A 19,804-nucleotide genomic window follows, 5' to 3' on the forward strand; every position below is an offset into this window, starting at 1 on the left:
GCTTGACAGCCTCACCAGGACTACACAAATGGGGGTGGTTTCTCAGGAAATAGGAGGGCTGGGCCGCAGAAATAGCTGACATCCACCCAACTTTGGGGTTCTGGGACAATCATAGTCCTTCCTTTCCTTATTTCTTTATTCCTCCCTAATGACTTTCCCACCGGCATTAGGAGGACCCTGGGCCCTGATACTCTGAGAACTGGGGGGTTGGGGGAGACAGGGTTTCCCAGAAGGGCTCAGCCATTGGCTTATCACAGGTGAAAATTCCCCATAGTCCTCGGAGAGAAGGGGCAGGGGTCAGGGCTGTTTACCCAGCAATGTGATTGTGATGTGACTCTCAGTTTTGGGAAGAGGAAAAATGAGGGGGATGGGGGTGCATCGGTGGGGAATCCAACTCAGAGAGCAGGGACTGAGTGGGGGCTCTGGTCCCATTGTTGATGGGTTGGTGGGGAGGGCTGGTTGGGTACCCAAAGCATTGAAAAGCATTTGTTATATGCCAGGAGCTTCACCCACTTCATCTCATTTAGGCCCCACACCTGCCAGGTAGGTGTCATTATCCCATTTTATTGGTGAAGAAACTGAGGCTCAAAGTGTTGAAGAAACAGAAAGATGCTGACTCACCTGTGCTAGTCCCAAAGGCTCTGCATGGAGTCCACGGTGCCCTGAGCCACAGAGGCATGCCCCAAGCAGAGTGCCTGCCCCATGCCACCTCTCACACGCCCAGCAAGGGGCCTCACAGGGACCGTTTCCACCTCCTGATCCCTGGCCCACTCGCCCCTAGAGACCCAGCAAGCCCTCCTACAGCCTCACCTGTACCAGGTCCCCTGCTTCCACTCCCTGTGGAAGCACTCCACTCCCACTCCGGCGGCCTGTTCCAGTTTCCGGAGCACTTGCATGCATTCTTACCGTCAAAGAGTGAATCCCACCCACTCCCTGAGGCCACTTCATCATCCCGGACACCTGCCTGCCCACCGCGGGCACAAGGTCAACCTTGAGCAGACCCTCGGGGCCTGTCTGCCACTAGAGGGAGCTCCCAGTGCGGCCATATATGCCTTCTGGGATGCCGAGGGGCTGGGGCCCAGGCAGAGGGACCCGTCCTGGGGATGCCCTACCAAGGGGCGTTCAGAGGCAGAGCTCTTGTGACAGGTTGATCTTCCCCTCCACTCCCCAAAGACCCAGGAGGCTCTGGTTTGTGAGATCAGCATCTTCATTATTAAAGCACAGGTGCCAGGAGATTCAAGGTGCCTGGAAGAGGACCTTTGGCATCCAGGGGCATGGGCTCCGGATCCACCTTCCCTCCTCTGCCCATGCCTGCAGCTCACAGCCCACTGGAAGTCAGAGGAGAGCAGGTGCCACTCACAGCAGGCCGGCAGCTGGCTTCCTGCTCCTTATTTATTGATTTACTGACTCACTAATTCAACAAATCTTTATTGAGCACCTTCTATATGCCAAGCACTGGGCTCAGCCTTGGGACTACCATGGTGAGCCCATAGCCCCTGTCCTCATGTAGCGTTCAGTCTTGTGGAGGTAGAGATGCATAAACCAGCTGTAATATTGTGTACTAAATTCTACATGGCCAGGTGTGGTGGTACACACCTGTAACCCCAGCACTTTGGGAGGCCAAAGCAAGAGGATTACTTGAGGCCAGGAGTTCAAGACCAACCTGAGCAACATAGCAAGACCCCATCTCTACAAAAATTAAAAAATTAGCCAGGCATGGTGGTGGACTGGTTAGTCCACCTGGTTAGTCCACCTGGACTGGTTAATCCTCCTGGTTAGTCAGGAGGCTGAGGCAGGAGGATCGCTTGAGCCCAGGAGTTTAAGTTTGCGGTGAGCCATGATGGTGCCACTGCACTCCAGCCTGGGTGACAAAGTGAGACCCTGCCTCAAAAAACAAAACAAGGCCGGGTGTGGTGGTTCACACCTGTAATCCCAGCACTTTGGCAGGCTGAGGCGGGTGGATCATTTGAGGTCAGGAGTTTAAGACCAGCCTGGCCAACATGGTGAAACCCTGTCTCTACTAAAAAATACAAAAATTAGCCTGGTGTGGTGGTACGCTCCTGTAATCCCAGCTACTTGGGAGGCTGAGGCAGGAGAATCCCTTGAACCTGGGAGGAAGAGGTTGCAGTGAGCTGAGATCATGTCACTGCACTCTAGCCTGGCTGACGGAGTGAGACTCCATCTTAAAAAAACAAAAAAACAAAAAAACCCAAAACCAAAAAACAAAACAAAACACACACCTCAGTAAATTCTACAACAGGTATAAGCCTGGGAGACTCCAGGTGCAAAAGAGGATGTAGTTAACCTCTACCTGGGGGGACTGGAAGGCTTTCTGGGGGGATGGCATCTAACCTGAGACCTGAGGAGTTAGCCAGGCAACGTGAAGCATTCCAGGCAGAGTGATCAGTTTGTACAAATGCCTGGAGGTGAGAGAGCATTAGCCTCTCTCTCTCTCTCTCTCTCTTCACTTTTCCAGCACTCCTGTGACTGTGCACTCTTCTGGATGCTGGACTGACTGTGTCACCAAACAAGACAGGCAAGCTCCCTGCTTCGTGGTGCTCACATGCTAGGGAATGTGGCCATTCAGGTGACCCAAAGACGTATTGAAGCTGGAGGGAGACATGTGGAAGGGACGGTGGCCCCTGCCCTGCCCAGAGCACCCAGGCCCCATCCTCCATCCTTCTGCTGAGCCTGGCAGCTAGCCCCAAGCCCTCCTGCACCAGCCAGCTGTGGGGAGATCACCCAGGCCATGGCAGGAGCCTGTGCCAATGTTTTAATAGCCAGGCTGAAGGCCTGCTGGGCAGCTCTGCTAATTACAGTGATTAATGTTTTTAAATTCCTTAGAAAGAGTAATGTGTCATCACTCTGTTGTCACAGCCCAGCTCCAGAGTCTGCTTCCTCCCCTCTCCCCGCAGAGGTGTCCCCCAAGCTCCTGCGGGCTCCCCACTGTGGCCCAGCCGCCCTTGAGCCCAGACACCTGGCCCTCCCATTCCCATGCCTGTCTGGAGCCTGACTACTGTCTCTGCCCCGGTGGTGCAGGAAGGAGCTCTCTTATCCATCCCCACTGCTAGAGAACTGTGCAGCCGCAGTGGTCAGGGAAGGTGGACCCCCTCATCCCCCAAGTCACTTCTGCACGGGGCAGAGAGAGCCCCTGATCTCTAGCTCCCCTGATCCCTCCCCGCAGCCCCACTTCGTCCCCATGTGGCACACACCTCTAGCTGAAGTCATTTTTGTTTTGTTTTGTTTTTGTTTTTGTTTTTGTTTTTGAGATGTAGTCTCGATCTGTCACCCAGGCTGGAGTGCAGTGGTGCGACCTCGGCTCACTGCAAACTCCGCCTCCTGGGTTCACGCCATTCTCCTGCCTCAGCCTTCCGAGTAGCTGAGACTACAGGCGCCAACCACCACGCCCGGCTAATTTTTGTATTTTTAGTAAAGACGGGGTTTCACCATGTTAGCCAGGATGGTCTCAACCTCCTGACCTCGTGATCCGCCCGTCTCGCCCTCCCAAAGTGCTGGGATTACAGGTGTGAACCACCGCACCCGGCCTAGCTGAAGTCATTTTATGTGGCTTCCTGTTTCACGGCCACCTTCCGGCTCTGGAGTGGGACAGGGACCTTTCCAGGTGCTCTGTTTGTTGAATGGAGGAATGAATGAAAGGGTCAAATCCCCACTCTGTGTGCCTCCATCCTTATAACAGGATAAGTTTGGATCTGGTGCTTTTCTCCTCCAAATCTCATGTGTCTCCCTTGCTAGCTCCCCTCCCAGGTAATGTCTATAGGGGACAGGTGGCCCAGTGTCTTCCTCCTACAACCAGAGAAATGTAAGACCACACCGCACAGAGTTGAGGCCTGATTATCTGAATCCATTGCTATGTTAGCTGGAGCAGGGATATCAAGACCAGTATGCTTCTGTGTATGTGAGACGGAGTCTCGCTCTGTCACCCAGGCTGGAGTGCAGTGGCACCTTCTTGGCTCACTGCAACCTCCGCCTCCCGGGTTCGAGCAATTCTCCCATCTCAGCCTCCCAAATAGCTGGGACTATAGGTGAGCGCCACCACGCCTGGCTAATTTTTGTATTTTTAGTAGAGATAGGGTTTGGCCATGTTGGTCAGGCTGATCTCGAACTCCTGACCTCAGGTGATCTGCCTGCCTTGGCCTCCCAAAGTTCTGGGACAGGTGTGAGCCATCGAGCCCTGCCAAGACCAGCACACTCCTGCCCCAGCGGCCAGAGGAGCCGGGTCTTGACTTCTATGGGATAGCTTCAAGCCTCCAACTTGAGCTTCCTTTGACTGCTGTCATTTTCCTGGTGTCCCCAGGGAAGGCAGAACTTCCTCATGCCTGGCAGTCTTCTCCTGAGGTCTAACCTCACTCTCCCTTTGCACCCACTCTGATCTCCATCAGTGGAATTGGGTGGGGAGCCTGAGGGAGAGGGGTCTCTTCTCAGGGGCAATCTAAGAACTTTGTTCCACCTGCCAGGCCCAGCCTGGGCCATCTCCAGGCCCTCTGGTCCCTCCTGGCACTGGGACTGCCTCATTGCCTAGGAAGGTGTGTTTGTTTTGCTTGCTTATTCACTGCCACGCTTGCCCCAGTAGGCAGCCAGCTGGCAGGAAGCCCCTGGGAGCCCTTCTCTCACCTGTGCCTGGCACAGCTGGGGCTGGGTCAGGGCAGGGTTAGGTGGGGTAGGCTGTGTCTTCACTTACTCTCCCTGAGGGGGTAAGAGATGTCACCTGCCAGTCCTTCAGCCCAATTAGGACAGGACAAGGACAATGCAGAGAGAGGGATTGCAGCCACACTGAAAACCAAAACACACCTCGGAAGGGATGCAAGTTAGAGAACCTGAATGCCACCCTAGGAACCACAGCCCCCGCCTTGCCATTAGATGTCTGTGACTGAGGCTGGTCGCATCTTGCTCGGCCTCAGTTCCTCCGCCTGTAATGTGAGAAGGGAAAAACAGGAGGATCCCTTGAGCCCAGGAGTTCAAGGTTGCAGTGAGCTGTGATCACATCACTATACTACAGCCTGGGTGACAGAGTGAGACCCTGTCTCAAAAACAAACAAACAAAACAAAAAACCTAAATAAATTCTACAACAGGTATAAGCCTGGGAGACTCCAGGTGCAAGAAAAGGATGTACTTAACCTCTACCTGGGGGGACAGGAAGGCTTCCTGGGGGGTGGCAGCTAACCTGGGACCTGAAGGATCTGAGGAATTAGCCAGGCAAAGTGAAAAGTGTTGCAGGCAGAGCGATCAATTTGTACAAATGCCTGGAGGTGTTTGATGAGCTGAAAACTAAGGTCTCTTCTAGTTCTGGGATTCAACACAGGCAGTTCCTGCCCCAAGACACAGCTGAGAATGGAGCAGGGTAGATCTTTGACCCCTCAGGGTGGCCCGGCACTTCCCGGAGGAGGCGCTGGGACCCGGCACCTAATGACCGCCGCCCCCACACAGGAGAACTGTTGGGTCTCTGAAGGCCAGGCAGGAGGCCAGATGGGTAATTGACTCCTGCCGTAGGGGAGCTGGCCCGGCTTCATCAGTATGCAGGGCCTGTGCAGAGTGCTTAAGAAAAACTTATTAATTTCCCTTCCACAAAGACTGAGAGTTTGACGGTAATCACAGTATCAAGTCGTAATAATAATAAAAAAAATCCCTCCGTTGAAAATCACAGTTGGGACTCTGGAGAGTTCAACAGGAAAAGATTGTATTAAGATAAAGGAGATTATAACAGGGCGGACATTAAAGGTTGTCATTGTCGGGTAAATCACATCAGGGAGGCCCCAGGACTGCTGTATCCCAGGGAGGGAGCGAGGACCCCGTCACTGACCTGGCAACCCCACTCCGTCCGCCTCCCGCCCACCCTGGAACTCTGCCTCCTCCTGCCCTCGAAGGCTAAGATACACAGGTGGCTCCGGAGCAAACTTGGGAATCAGATGTCCCGGCCTGAGGACCCTCATTATGGGCAGAGGGTGGAGCACTGTACAGGTTCTGGAGGACAGAGATCTCTGCTCTAGGTTAGGCTCTTACAGTCTAGCCTGACAGTGGTCTTCAGAATATGTGCCCAGTCATGCAGGGGCCTGGGGGTGGGGCGGTGTTTCTGGGTCACCTGTCCTATTGGCATTTTCCTGGTAAGGATGAGAAAGGAGGATGAGCTTGCGGAAAGGAGGTGATGGGGCTGGGCATGGTGGCTCATGTCTGTAATCCAAGCACTTTGGAAGACCGAGGTGGGCGGATCACTTGTGGCCAGGAGTTCGAGACCAGCCTGGCCAACATGGCAGAACCCTGTCTCTATAAAAAAATAAAAAAATTAGCCGGGTGTGGTGTGGTGGTGTGCACCTGTAGTCCCAACTACTTGGGAGGCTGAGGCAGGAGAATCCCTTGAACCTGGGAGGCTGAAGTTGCACTGAGCCAAGATTGCGTCACTGCACTCCAGCTTGGGCTGCAGAGCGAGACTCTCTTTCAAAAAAAAAAAAAAAAAAAAAAAACTGGTGAGAATACCAGGGCCTCTGGACACTGCCCTGCCCTGCCTCTTGGACATAGGCTGAATCAGAAAGGGTGTCCCAACCTGTCAACAGGGAGTCCCAATCCCAGTGGAAAAGCCCGAAGAATTCTAGTGAGATATTACCAAGATGAGGCTATACTTGCTCAGGTGCCAGGTGACCACTGCCCCCGGGGCTGGGGCTGGGTGCAGTGCAGGGCCAAGCTGGGGTTGGTGATCCTTCTCTTGGACATCTTCACTTGGGCCAAATGAGAGGGTTCTCTGGGTCTAAAGATGCAGTTGGATCTGAAAGTTATACTAGACTTGGGACGAGAAGCTACAAGCTGTTAACGACTGGGGCGGGGGCCACATGGAAGAAAGGAGTTGATCATGGGCTTCTCTGGTCATTACCAAGGGGCCCTATAATGTGGAGGCTTTGAGTCCTGGCTCAAAACGTTTTAGCTCTGCATCCTTGGGCAGGTTACTTAACCTCTCTGTGCATCAACTTTTTTATCTATAGAATGGTGGTTATAGCATCCACTTAATGCTGTGATGAGGATTCAATGTATGATTATAGTGAAGAATTATAAATAATAAAGGCCTGCTTTTATCTCTTAATTGCCCTTGCCTGAGGTCACACAGTCAGTAGGTGGCCAAGACCATCTCCTGCCCATCACCTACTTTTTTTTTTTTTTTTAGACAGAGTCTCGCTCTGTCGCCCAGGCTGGAATGCATGGGGGTGATCTCAGCTCACTGCAAACTCTACCTCCCAGGTTCAAGTGATTCTTCTGCCTCAGCCTCCCAAGTAGCTGGGACTACAGGCGTGTGCCACCACCAAATTAGAAGGAATGCTAATTTCAGAGGGAGAGATACATTCTGGGAAGGAGAACTTACAGAACGCCCAGCTAATTTTTGTATTTTTAGTAGAGACGGGGTTTCACCATGTTGGCCAGGCTGGTCTTGAACTCTTGATCTCAAGTGATCTGCCCACCTGGGCCTCCCAAAGTGCTGGGATTACAGGCGTGAGCCACCGCTCTCGGCCTCATCACCTCCTTTCTGCAAGCTTCTCCTTGGGGAGTGCAGTGTGGCAGCCAAGGGCTTGGGCTTTGGACCCAGAGTGCCTGGGGTTCACATCCTGGCTTTTGCTTGGGCCAGGGACTTCAGTTCTCATACTCAGCTTTCTCCCTTAGGAAAGGTGAAAGTCACCCTCCTAAGGTCAAGGTGATGCTGCTGGTGCAGCGAGTAGCTCAGAAAGGGGCAGCTGAGGCAGGCAGCTTTCCCTGGGGTCTCTGGCCCTAAGCCCCCCGACCTGTGGCCGTTAGGCCCAGTGGGACAGTGGTTCCTCCCCCTGGCCCTCCAGGTGGCATCCGGCCCTCTGCGGCTGCAAGCCATGGGCACCAAGGACGGTTCTGAAGTCGCCCTGAGTTTATGAGGCTGAGCGGAGAGGACGAGGCATGTTAAGTGTAATAGGGTTGTGTGAGATTAATGTGAGGCCGGGTGAAGCAGCTAAGGCAAGTCATTTTGGCAGTTAATACATACATTTAAGGAATGATTTGAGAGTGTGAAAACATTTAAAAGGAATGCTAATTTCAGAGGGAGAGATACATTCTGGGAAGGAGAACTTGCAGAGGACAGAGCTGGGGTGGAGCCAGGATGGAGGTGCCAGGTGACCCTGCTCAGAATTCAGCCCCCTACAGAGTTTGTCCAGGTCCTTCCAGGGCCTCTCTGTGCCCACCTGTCTCCAGGAGCACAGGCCTCTCGGAAGACCTGAAGCGGGCACTGAGTGGGAAGAGCTGGGCTGGAACCTTGTGGAAGCAGGGTCCTTGTCTGCCCGCATTATGGAGCACAGGGAGTGGAGAGGGTGCAGCTCAGGGGGCTTTGTGAAAAGGGTATTGCTTGAACTGAGCTTTGAAAATGGGTTGGGAGGAGAGGGTGGAAGCAAGTGGATTTGGACTTTTCATCCAGGAGAGAAAGGTGCTCCGTGACTGAGCCTGTGATCCGGGTAGGATAGGGCGGCCCATATAATAGGGGAGACTCAGCTTCTTCAGGCCTGCGTGCAGGCTTCACTAGGGTCCTGGAGAGCAGGAGGCCAGGAAGAGCAGCCTCCTCCTCCTCAGGGAGCTCTCCCTCTCCTGGACCCTCTGGATGGGAAAGGTGGAGTCTCTCTGCTCTGAAGTGGTTTTTTTTTTTTTTTTTTTTTTTTTTTTGAGACAGGGTCTCGCTGTGTCTCCCAGGCTGGAGTGCAGTGGCACAATCACAGCTCACTGCATCTTCGCAGCTTCGACTTCCCGGGCTCAGTTGATCCTCCTGCCTTAGCCTCTCAAGTAGCTGGGACTACAGGTATACACCACCACGCCCGGCGAATTTTTGTATTTTTTTGTAGAGATGGGGTTTTGCCATGTTACCCAGGCTGGTCTCGATCTCCCGGACTCAAGTGATCCGCCCGCCTTGGCCTCCCAAAGTGCTGGGATTACAGGCATGAACCACCGCGCCCGGCCCCACATGCTCCTTGACGGCACAAGCCTCCTCAGCCCTGCTAGTGAGATTGGAGGCAGGCCCTTCCTTCCTGGAGTTTGATCTTTCAGCACCAGAAAGTGTGTGATCCGGGAATCTCCTGGGAACCCCTCGGCTCTAAGACCTCAGCCCTCCCATCCACTGATCCAGCCTAAAAGTGGAATGAGCTGATCCTCAGCTTGCCCGTCCCATCTCCACTAGAGGCCCAAGAGCCAAGGAGTTAGTGCCGTCACAGCTGGCTGCGATGAAGGCCTTTAAAAGTGCCTGGTGTGGTTATTAATAATGTCTCCCGGCTCTGAATGCCTCTTTAATTCCTCTGCTTAAACCACTCTGGAATCCATAACACTTGCCCCTTAGCCTGTGGTAATTCCGCTCCCTTAATGGCCTTTTATGGAGGGAGCTTATTGAAAGCTTTTCCCCACCGTGAGTAAATCATGTCCTCTGGGTCATCCTTGCCTGCAATTTTATTAACTTCTTATGAGAAGTCAGAGGGACCAGAGGCAGGCCAATGTTTCCTCCGTGTTCTGTCCTGCCCGGGCCCGGCACTGTCCCTTTCCTGGCTGGGATCTCAGAGGAGGAGATGGCTGGGGACGTTGGAAATCAATAATGTTTGGAATGTCTCAACCCAGTGCCCCTGACTCCTTCACTCTCATCTGTCAATCCTTCCAGGTGGGTAGGAGCTGGGAGACCAGGCACTGTGAATGGGAGAAGCAGGGGACACTGGGAAGCAGGGACAAGTGCCAGGAGGGACAGGATACGCATCAGTTACCTGATTCACTGGTTACCTGGTGCATCAGCTACCTGGTTCATTGGCTGGTTACCTGGTGCATTGCTTATCTGGCGCATCAGTTACCTGGTGCATTGGCTACCTTGTGCATTGGTTACCTTGTGCATTGGTTACCTGGGGCGTTGATTACCTGGTGCACCAGTTACTTGACTCATAGGTTACCTGGTGCATTGGTTAACTGGTGTATAGGTTAACTGGTGCGTCAGTTACCTGATTCATTACTTACCTGGGGCATTGGTGCACAGGTTGATTACCTGGTTCATCAGTGATGTGGCAAGCACCAGATTTGGTAGCAGGAAGTGGGAGACTGAACCAGAGCCAGACACTGGCGCCAACAACTGGGAACTGGAAAAGGCCAAGGACCACGCTAATGTGAGACAATAACTGAGGAAGCTGTGTTCGGGGGAAAGGGAGCGTATGGAAACTCTTTTCTTTTTCCTAGAACTAGAAAACCTAGAGCTGCTCTAAAAAATATAAATATAAATTTTTAAAAAAGGCAATTGAGACCCTAGGAAATGGAGATGCCTGGAAAAAAACCCAGGAGGTTCCCCCTGGACATCTGGGAATGAAAGGGTTTGTGGCTTTGGAATGGCTTTCAAGGGGCCCATGTGCCTCTCTCCTGGCCCAGGAGAAAGACGGGAGGGGCGCAGGGGAAATAATGGGAGAGGTGGAAGAGGGCACTGGGGCTGGGGACTGGGTGTCCCTGGGGTGTGGGACAGGACTTCTTTTTTTTTTTTTTTTTGAGAAGGAATCTCGCTCTGTTGCCCAGGCTGGAGTGCAGTGATGCCATCTCGGCTCACTGCAAACTCTGCCTCCTGGGTTCACACCATTCTCTTGCCTCAGCCTCCCCAGCAGCTGGGACTACAGGTGCCCGCCGCCATGCCAGGCTAATTTTTGTATTTTTAGTAGAGACGGGGTTTTACCGTGTTAGCCAGGATGGTCTTGATCTTCTGACATTGTGATCCACCCACCTCGGCCTCCCAAAGTGCTGGGATTACAGGCGTGAGCCACCATGCCCGGCTGGGATGGGACTTCTTAAGGGAGCATAAACCCATCTCTGCTGTCTGCTCCCTGGGCCATAGGCAGGGGCATTCCTCAGAGAAGGACCATGTCAGACTGACATTCAGCTGCCCCCTCTTACGCCAACTCTGAACTTCCCCGCAACCGCTAGCTCCTCCCTCTGGCCTAAGAGAAAGTCAGGACAGCCACCCGGCCCAGCTTCGGAGCTCCACTGAACTTCTCCCCACAGAGAGTGTTAGAAATCATCTCTGTGACTACAGCAGAAGGGAGGCTGGGGCAGGGGCGGCCAGGGGTGGGGCTGGATCCCAAACCTGGAGGGGCCAGTGTCTTCAGCCGTCCCCAGGAAGGGTCATAGAGGGGTTTCCAGCCCTGACTGACCACTGGCAGCAGAGGTTTTGCAAATTCTACCTGGAGCCTAGGAAGGTGGGTTGGCATGAGCAGCTCTGTGAGGATCCCCTGTCCCTGGTGTCACCATCTGGGCCAGCCAGTTCATTGGAGGAGGGTCTGGTGAGTCTCCTCTCCTCCCACTCCAGGAAGTAGAGTGAGCACCAGACCTGAAGTCAGGAATTGGGCTATTCCCACCTCTCACCAAGAGGCTGCAGTCCTGGCCAGGCACGGGGTAATCCCAGCACTTTGGGAGGCCGGGGCAGGCAGATCACTTGAGGTCAGGAGTTCGAGACCAGCCTGGCCAACATGATGAAACCCCGTCTCTAAAAAAATACAAAAAAGAAAAAAAAAATTAGCCAGGCGTGGTGGCGGGCACCTGTAATCCCAGCTCCTTGGGAGGCTGAGGCAGGAGAATCCCTTGAACCCGGGAGGCAGAGATTGTAGTGAGCCGGGGTCACGCCACTGCCCTCCAGCCTGGGTGACAGACTACATCTCAAATAAACTAAAAAAAAAAAAAGAGAGAGAGAGGTTGCAGTCCTGATTCTGACCTTTGGCAGGGGAAATAGCTGGCTCTGGCTGCCCCAGCCCCTCCTCCGTTCAGCTCCGGGCTTGGAGCTGGAAGCCAGTTGATGCCCTCCCCTCTCCCTGCTTCCCCGAGCCGCTGGCAGGCACTGGTACTTCCCCTGTGCCAGGCTCTGTGTCGAGGGCTTTACACGTATTATCTCATTTAATCCTCTCACCCACCCAGACTACATAGTCTCTCCTCAATGACTACCTTCCATTCATTCGCCCTGTTCTCCGCTTCCTAGCCCTGATGACAAATCATGATATGCTTTTGCTTGTTTACTTGTTGTCTGTCTTCCCACTTAGACTGTAAATTCCTTTTGTTCTCTGCAGCATCCCGAGCACTTGTAGAAGGCCTGGCTCACTACATTTTTTCTTTTTAAATAAATGAGGGACTTAATCAAGTGACTAGGCTCAGAGTCATTTTCTCAGGATCACCCAGCTTGTGTCTGTAGAGCTGGAATCCACACCCATGTTGCTGAGGGAACCTGCTCCCCTGTGATGACAGGAGCTGCTGGGAGGAGTTTGAGTTTCAGGCCCAGCACAGAAGCCAAGAATAACTGAAACCCCAGTGCCTTTACATTCACCTCTGCACAATGAATCGAGCTTCCCAGTGGTGCTGGGAGCAGAGCCGGATTCTCCCCTAAACTGGAGGCTGGCCATCGGACACCCTTCCTGGCCTGAACTCTCTTTCCTTCCCTGCAGGGAACCCCAGCCATGGCTGCATGCTCTGGCTGGGAGTAACAGTGAGCCTCAGGCTGGGGAGGCAGAGGGACAGCAGAGCACACACCCCTAGATGGATGTAGAGGATATGGGAATAAAGACCACATTCCTCACCCCTGTTTGGAAACGGGGAAGCGGGAGAGGCACAGCTCATCTGCCGGCACTGTCAGCTTGGCCTGCGGAATAGACCCTAAGTCCGATGACTTCATCCCCACCACTACCTACCGCTCCATTCCCCTCGCCTCACAGCTGCATGACCGAAGGATCCTCTCCCTCCCACTCAACTCCTACCATCTATTTTCCACCCAGCAGCCAGAGTGGTTTTTAAAAGAACAAACTAGGCTGGACGTGGTGGCTCACGCCTGTGATCCCAACACTTTAGGAGGCTGAGTCAGGAGGACTGCTTGAGGCCAGGAGTTTCAAGACAAGCCTGGGCAAAACAGCAAGACCCTGTTTCTAAAAAAAAAGAAAAAAAATTATCTGGGCTTGGTAGTGCACTTGTGTAGTCCCAGCTACTTGGTAGGCTGAGGTGGGAGGATGATTTGAGACGAAGAGGTGGAGGCTGCAGCGAGCTGTGATCACGCTACTGCACTCCAGCCTGGGCAATAGAGCGAGACCCTGTCTCAAAACAATAAAAATAAAAGAACAAACCAGATTATGTTGTTGCTGGCTTAAAACTTTGAATAGCTTCCTATTCTACTTACAAAATAATCCAGGCTGGGCACGGTGGCTCATGCCTGTAATCCCAGCACTTTGGGAGGCCAATGTGTGTGGATTGCTTAAGCCCAGGAGTTGAAGACCGGTCTGGGCAACATGGCGAAACCCTGTCTCTACAAAAAATACAAAGATTAGCTGAGCATGGTGGCACGTGCCTATAGTCCCAGCTAGTAGGGAGGTGGACATAAGAGGATCCCTTGAGCCCAGTAGGCCAAGGCTGCAGTGAGCCATGATCAGGCCATTGGACTCCAGCCTGGGTGACAGAGTGAGACCCTGCCTGTGTCAAAAAAAAAAAAAAAAAAAAAAAAAAAGCCTGGGCTCAGTGGCTCACACCTGTAATCCCAGCACTTTGGGAGGCCGAGGCGGGGGATCATTTGAGGTCAGGAGTTCGAGACCAGCCTGGCCAACATGGTGAAACCCCGTCTCTACTAAAAATACAAAGAATTAGCAGGGTGTGGTGGTGCGCGTCTGTAATCCCAGCTACACGGGAGGCTGAGGCAGGAGAATCACTTGAACCCAGGAGGTAGAGGTTGCAGTGAGCCGAGATTGTGCCACTGCACTCCAGCCTGGGTGACAGAGCGAGACTCCATCTTGGAAAAAAAAAGACAAAAAATCCAAGCTTCTCTTTGTGTCCCATGCCTGACCTAACCTTCTCTTCTTTTTCCAGCCTCTTCTCACCCCAAGATCTCCTCCACTGCCCTACCACACTGACCCTTTCTGCCCCTGTACCGCCAGAACTCGGTCTCTCTCCACACCTTTGCCCTTCCATTCTCTCTGCCTGGCATGCTCTCGTCTCAGATCTAAGGGCTGACTGCTTCTTATCATTCAGGTCTCAGCACAGATGTCACCTCTGTGCAGAGCCTTCTCCTGACCACCCCCGAACCCAGCACATCCTATCTCCTTTTCCTGTTTTATTGCTTCATTGCATTTGACATTGTGAGTCTAAAATCTAAGATTTTGTCATTTATTTATAGTTTATTCTTTTCATATCTGTCTCCCCCACTGGAATGTCAGTTAGCTCCATGAGGGCAGGGACTGTGTCTGGTCATTGCTCTGACTCTGGGGCCCTGAACAGTGTGCGCCTCATAATAGGTGTTCAATAAATGTTTGCTGAATGCATGAATGCATGAACATTTCATGTTGGAGGGAGGCTTGCTTGGGGCATCCCTGCTGGGCAGCTTAGCTCCTTCCTGCCCCAGGACCTTGCTATGCCAACACTAGAAGGTGAGGAGGGGGGCAGGGAGGGAAGTGGGGATGAGGTCAGAGCTCCCAGCCTGAGTGCCACTCCTCGGGTGCTGAGCCGTGGGGGGTGACGGCCGCTCTGAGGGAGATGGATGACCTGTACTGGGTGGCTGCCCCGGGAAGCTGCTTCCTATTAATAACAGCAGTAGCACTGCCAGGAGGGGAAGGGGAGGGAGGCAGAGGCAGCGGAGATGGGATAATGCCCCTCACCCCTCACCAAGCCAGGAAAATGGCATCGTATTTTCTAGAAGACAAGAATGCCACTTTTAAAGAAAATTAGGCCAGGCACGGTGGCTCACGCCTGTAATCCCAGCACTTTGGGAGGCCGAGGCGGGCGGATCACCAGGTCAGGAGATCGAGACCATCCTGGTGAACACGGTGAAACCCCGCCTCTACTAAAAAAAAAATACAAAAAATTAGCCGGGCATGGTGGCGGGCGTCTGTAGTCCCAGCTACTTGGGAGGCTGAGGCAGGAGAACGGTGTGAACCCTGGAGGCGGAGCTTGCAGTGAGCCGAGATCGCGCCACTGCATTCTAGCCTGGGCGACAGAGTGAAACTCTGTCTCAAAAAAAAAAAAAAAAAAAAAAATTTGGCCTGGTTTGTAAATGGGTCTCTGTCTGCTCTGCAGCCCTCCCTGTGGACAACTCCTCCGTGCGTGGAGGCTTCTTCCCCGGCTGGGTGGACCCTACAGGCAGCCAGAGGGATGTCCCCCTTACCCCTCCCCTTGTCTGGGCCAGCCCCAAACAGAGGCCGTGGCTGAGAGGGAAGTGTCTGCACCCTGGGGCTGGGGAGGATGAACTTTGTCCAAACTCCTCTGACTCCTTTCTCCGAGGGTGGTTATTGGGAAACAGGAGTGAAGGTGAGTATGGGAGGGAGGAGGAGGAGGAGAAGCAGAGAGAGAACAGAGATGGTGTAGGCTGCTTGGTGGCAGACCGGGGCGTGGGCAGGAAGGCCCAATCTGGTCCCACCAGATACCTGGCTTTGCCCTTGTCCTGGGGCAGGCAGGGGGCATTGAGGAGCTGGCAGAACTGTGGACAGAAGGAGAGCGGAGCCGCTTTCTCTCCCAGCGAGAAAAGAGCCCAGTCACTCTCATTTTCAGGGGAAGCAACATGCCACACCCCCCGAGACACCTCTGTCCCCAGCACAGTAGCTCCTGATGGCTGCCCGGTGAGGATGCTGCGGGCAGGTCCCACTGTCCCCCCAGGCTCTGGCGTGCTCCCCCCAACCAAGATGCCCCAGCAGGGCCCCTAGTGGCCCAGGTCTGTGGCCATCCTGGTTCCTGTCTCCACTGTCTATCTGGAGCCCCTCTCCAAGCCTCCATCCCCCACCAGCCCCCTCCCCGCCTCACCGGGCCACAGCCCCAGCTTGGTCTCTATCTTCTCACCCAGCCCTGCCTCTCACTAGGCCTCACTGCCGCCTAGCCCTATCCCTTCTTTGGGCCCTGATCCTCTGTCCTGAGTCCTCTGGCCCCGGACACGTTATACTTCCATGACCAAGGGTCTTTGTAAATTCTTCAGGCGCTCTCCAGAAGCCCCAGTCCCCTCATACTCACAGCTCTGAACACAGCCCGGCCCTGTCCCTAAAACCCAGACAGGACCCGCATGTGCCGTGACCTCCCACTCTCCAGTGTGGCCCCTAAGAACTCAGGGTCGGGCTTGGCATTAGCCTGGAGGCCTGGAGCCTGCTCATTCAGTCCTGAGCTGACAGAGAAGGTCATTAGCAAGTTCCTAACTGGGCCACACCTCCTGGGCTGTGAGGACGGCTTGTGCCAGAGAAACATCACACTCCGTGTATCTCACTTCTTGGGGTGGTGGCACTTGGTGGTGCCGGGGACTCCCACATGTACTTGTGAGAAGTCTCAGTTCCCCATCTCCTTCTAGCCACCTCTCTGTCACCTCCCTCTGCTGGGTTGTGGAGGGGTGGGGTATGTCTCGGGGTGTCCCTGTGTGGCCTCAGGCATCATTTGTAGCTCTCCTGTGGGTTGAGGTTTCTTCTCGGGGCTCATTCACCCCGGCTCCCATAACCCTACCCCACCATTTCCTAAGCAATAACCCCGTATCAAGCACTGGGCTAAGCAGGATCTTCATGGCCTCACAAGGTGGGACCTGTCACTATTTCTGTGCTCAGCAGAGGAAATGGAGGTTCAGAGTTGTCAAGCCACTTGCCTAAGGTCACAGAGCTAAACCCTGGTGGAGCTGTGATTAGGCTATAGGTCTGGGTGGCTCCTGCCTGAGTTCCTGGGGCTCAAGTTACCCCATATCAAACTGGGAGACCCTGTGTGGTCATTTCTTGGTGCCAGAGTCTGGTTGAGGGGCACAGGCAGGGAAGCTGGGTCTGGAACAGTCTGTCAGGTTGGACACTGTGATCACCTCCCATTGAAGCAGGAGGAGGTGCAGCCACAGGCCGTTAAGTGATTGTTTATTCAAAATGAAAGGAAATCTCCCGAACAAAGCAAGAAACTCAAAGATTGAAGCGCAGGGCCTGGGTGGGAAAGAAGAAATTATCCGGTTCCTGCCCTTCCCCAGCAAAGCAGGCATGGCTAGAGCTGTCCTAGCCAGCACCAGAGTGGGCCCCTGGCCAGGCGCAATGGCTCACGCCTGTAATCCTAGCGCTTCAGGAGGCCAAGGAGGATCACTTAAGGCCAGGAGTTTGAGACCAGCCTGGGAAACTTGGTGAAACACCCCGTTTCTACAAAAAGTAGCCAGGTGCCTATAGCCCCAGCTACTCGGGAGGCTGAGGTGGGAGGATCACTTGAGCCCAGGAGTTCAAGGCCATAGTGAGCTATGATCATGCCACTGTACTTCAGCCGAGGCAGCAGAGTGATACCATATCTCAAAACAAAACAAAACAAAGCAAAAACCCAACAACAAAACAGCAGGCCCCAAGGAAGCCTGTGGCAGGGGCCTGAGGGGTGGTGCAGGTAGGGTTGGTGGGGTTTTCCTGGGTCATGCCTCTAACTAGATAATAATGATGCCTGTCTCATTGCGGTGCGGTGGGAATACAATGTGCCTATAGTATATATGTAGCGCATACTGTATATGCAGTGTATACAGTGCACATATAGTGCATTTACAGTGGACATCTAGTGCATATATGGTGTATACGTAGCGTATATATAGTGCACGTGCTGTAGTGTATATATCGTGCATATGTAGTGTACGTGTAGTGAATATACAGCGCATATATAGTACATATGTGGTGCACATATAGTGTGCATATATGGTACATAGTGCACATAGTGTACATGAAACATATGTACACGAAACATATACACACGTGCACTACATTACACGTGTGAATTACATTACACATCTATCATATATGTGGTGTACATGTAGTGGACATATAGTGCCTATGTAGCATATGAATATGTAGTGAATATATAGTGCATATAGAGTATCTATGCAGTGCATATACATGCACTATATATAACTATACGTGCATTTACACATACACTATATGTGCACTATATATTCACTACATAGGCAATCTATATGCACTTTATATTCACATATATACACTATATGTGCATTACATGTACACTACATTACACTACGCCACATTACATTACACGTGCATTACATTACACATATATATGGTCTATGTGGTGTACATGTAGTGCACATATAGTGTATATATAGTGCATATGTATATATAGTATATATACTATATATACATAGTGCATATGTAGTTTACATGTAGTGAGTAAACTGCATATATAGTACATATGTAATGCATATATATAGTGCATGTATAGTACCTATATCGTACATGTGGTGGACATGTAGGGCACATATGGCATATATAGCGTGTATATATAGTGCACGTGTGGCGCATATGTGGTGCATACACTGCATATGTAGTATATATACATACAGTGCTCAGGGACGATGCGCCTCCTGCCTGGGTTCCAGGGGCAGGCACTCTCATCTCCTCTCAGGCCCCCAGGGGGCGCACCTCCCCCCGGCCGGACGTGTTCAGGCAGCGGCTTCCCTTCAGCCCCCATGCAAGCAGGTGCTTTTTATTTAGACTGATTTATTATTGGAACAACTTGAATCAGCTTCAAAGTAAGTTAAATGAGAAGAGATCTTCACCCCTAGTCTCATAAATCAAGGGGTATTCAAAGAAAAGGGAAAACAAATCACAGAAGCCTGGAAACAGATGGGCTTTCGTGGCCTTGTATTCCTGGCCTCTCTCCTAGGGCGCGCTGGGAACCAGTCTTTCTTTCCTTCCTTCACCTGAAGAGCCTGGGTCGAAAGCTGTGCTCCTTCCCCCCTCCTCCCCCTCTTTCACCTCCTCCTCCTCCTCCCTCTCCTCCCCCTCCTCCCTCTCCTCCCCCTCCTTCCCCTCCCCTCCTCCTCCCCTACCTCCTCCTCCTCCCCCACCTCCTCCTCCTCCCCCTTCTCCTCTTCTCCCCCCCCTTCTCCTCCTTCTCCCCTCCTCCTCCTCCCTCTCCCCCTCTTTCACCTCCCCCTTCTCCTCTTCCTCCTCCTCGTCCTCCCTTTCACGGTCGCCAGGGAGAGGCTGGTGTCCCCATAGCGAGGGCTGGATTTAAGTTGAGACAAATTATCCTTCTCCCTTACGCAGTGCACATGCCCAGAGCCCCTTTCTAGCCTCAGGGCTCCTGGTGCCCTGTGGGGCAGGGGAATGTCTCCGGGCAGTGTGGTTTGGGGTTGGGAGTTGGAAGGACTGTGGTTCCTGGATGACTGTGGAGAGATGTGAATTTGGGAGTCTGGTTGTGAGGCCATCTGAGGCTGCCCAGTGTGTGGCTGTTGTGCTTTGTGTCCCTGTGTGTATGTCCTTGTGTGTATGTGTGTCCCCTTGTGTGTCCCCGTGTATGTGTGTGTCCCTGTGTGTGTCCCCATATGTGTCTGTGTGTGTATGTGTGTGTGTCCCCGTGTGGGTATGCGTGCGTGTATGTGTGTGTCTCCGTGTGTGTGTGTATGCACACAAAAGCAGCTGAGCATTCCTCAGGCCTGGCCTGGAATTTCAGATCCACTCTGGATGAAAGTTGCTGCTGGCTGCCTCTTCTGTTCCCCTAACTATGGGCACTGCCTTTTCCTTATGCCAAGCTGCCCGCAGCTGAGAGCAATGCAGGGTCTCCCTCTCTGCACAGCAAATTCTGGCTGGGGACTCCACTCTCCTGCTCCACAGGCCACCTGGACGCACTGCCCAGGGCCACGGGAGGGACACCTGCAGCGGATGGACATCAAAAACTAAGGTCAATGGCCGGGTGCAGTGGCTCATGCCTGTAATCCCAGCACTTAGGGAGGCTGAGGCAGGAGGATCACCTGAGGTCAGGAGTTCAAGACCAGCCTGGCCAACACGGTGAAACCCGTCTCTACTAACAATGCAAAAATTAGCCAGGTGTGGTGGTGGA

The 19,804-nt window shown here is 53.1% G+C and overlaps 3 annotated features.

Moving 5' to 3' along the window:
• Window positions 11,066–12,043: an enhancer, noted in NCBI's record as "H3K4me1 hESC enhancer chr1:11390449-11391426 (GRCh37/hg19 assembly coordinates)". NCBI's record gives its function as "activates a minimal SCP1, AML or CMV promoter by ChIP-STARR-seq in primed H9 embryonic stem cells {active_cell/tissue: H9 hESC(primed)}" and the evidence as "EXISTENCE:reporter gene assay evidence [ECO:0000049][PMID:30033119]".
• Window positions 12,044–13,021: an enhancer, noted in NCBI's record as "H3K4me1 hESC enhancer chr1:11391427-11392404 (GRCh37/hg19 assembly coordinates)". NCBI's record gives its function as "activates a minimal SCP1, AML or CMV promoter by ChIP-STARR-seq in naive H9 embryonic stem cells {active_cell/tissue: H9 hESC(naive)}" and the evidence as "EXISTENCE:reporter gene assay evidence [ECO:0000049][PMID:30033119]".
• Window positions 14,514–15,016: an enhancer, noted in NCBI's record as "H3K27ac-H3K4me1 hESC enhancer chr1:11393897-11394399 (GRCh37/hg19 assembly coordinates)". NCBI's record gives its function as "activates a minimal SCP1, AML or CMV promoter by ChIP-STARR-seq in naive H9 embryonic stem cells {active_cell/tissue: H9 hESC(naive)}" and the evidence as "EXISTENCE:reporter gene assay evidence [ECO:0000049][PMID:30033119]".

The sequence above is a fragment of the Homo sapiens genome, chromosome 1 (genome assembly GCF_000001405.40).
Source record: "Homo sapiens chromosome 1, GRCh38.p14 Primary Assembly".
Lineage (NCBI taxonomy): Eukaryota > Metazoa > Chordata > Mammalia > Primates > Hominidae > Homo > Homo sapiens.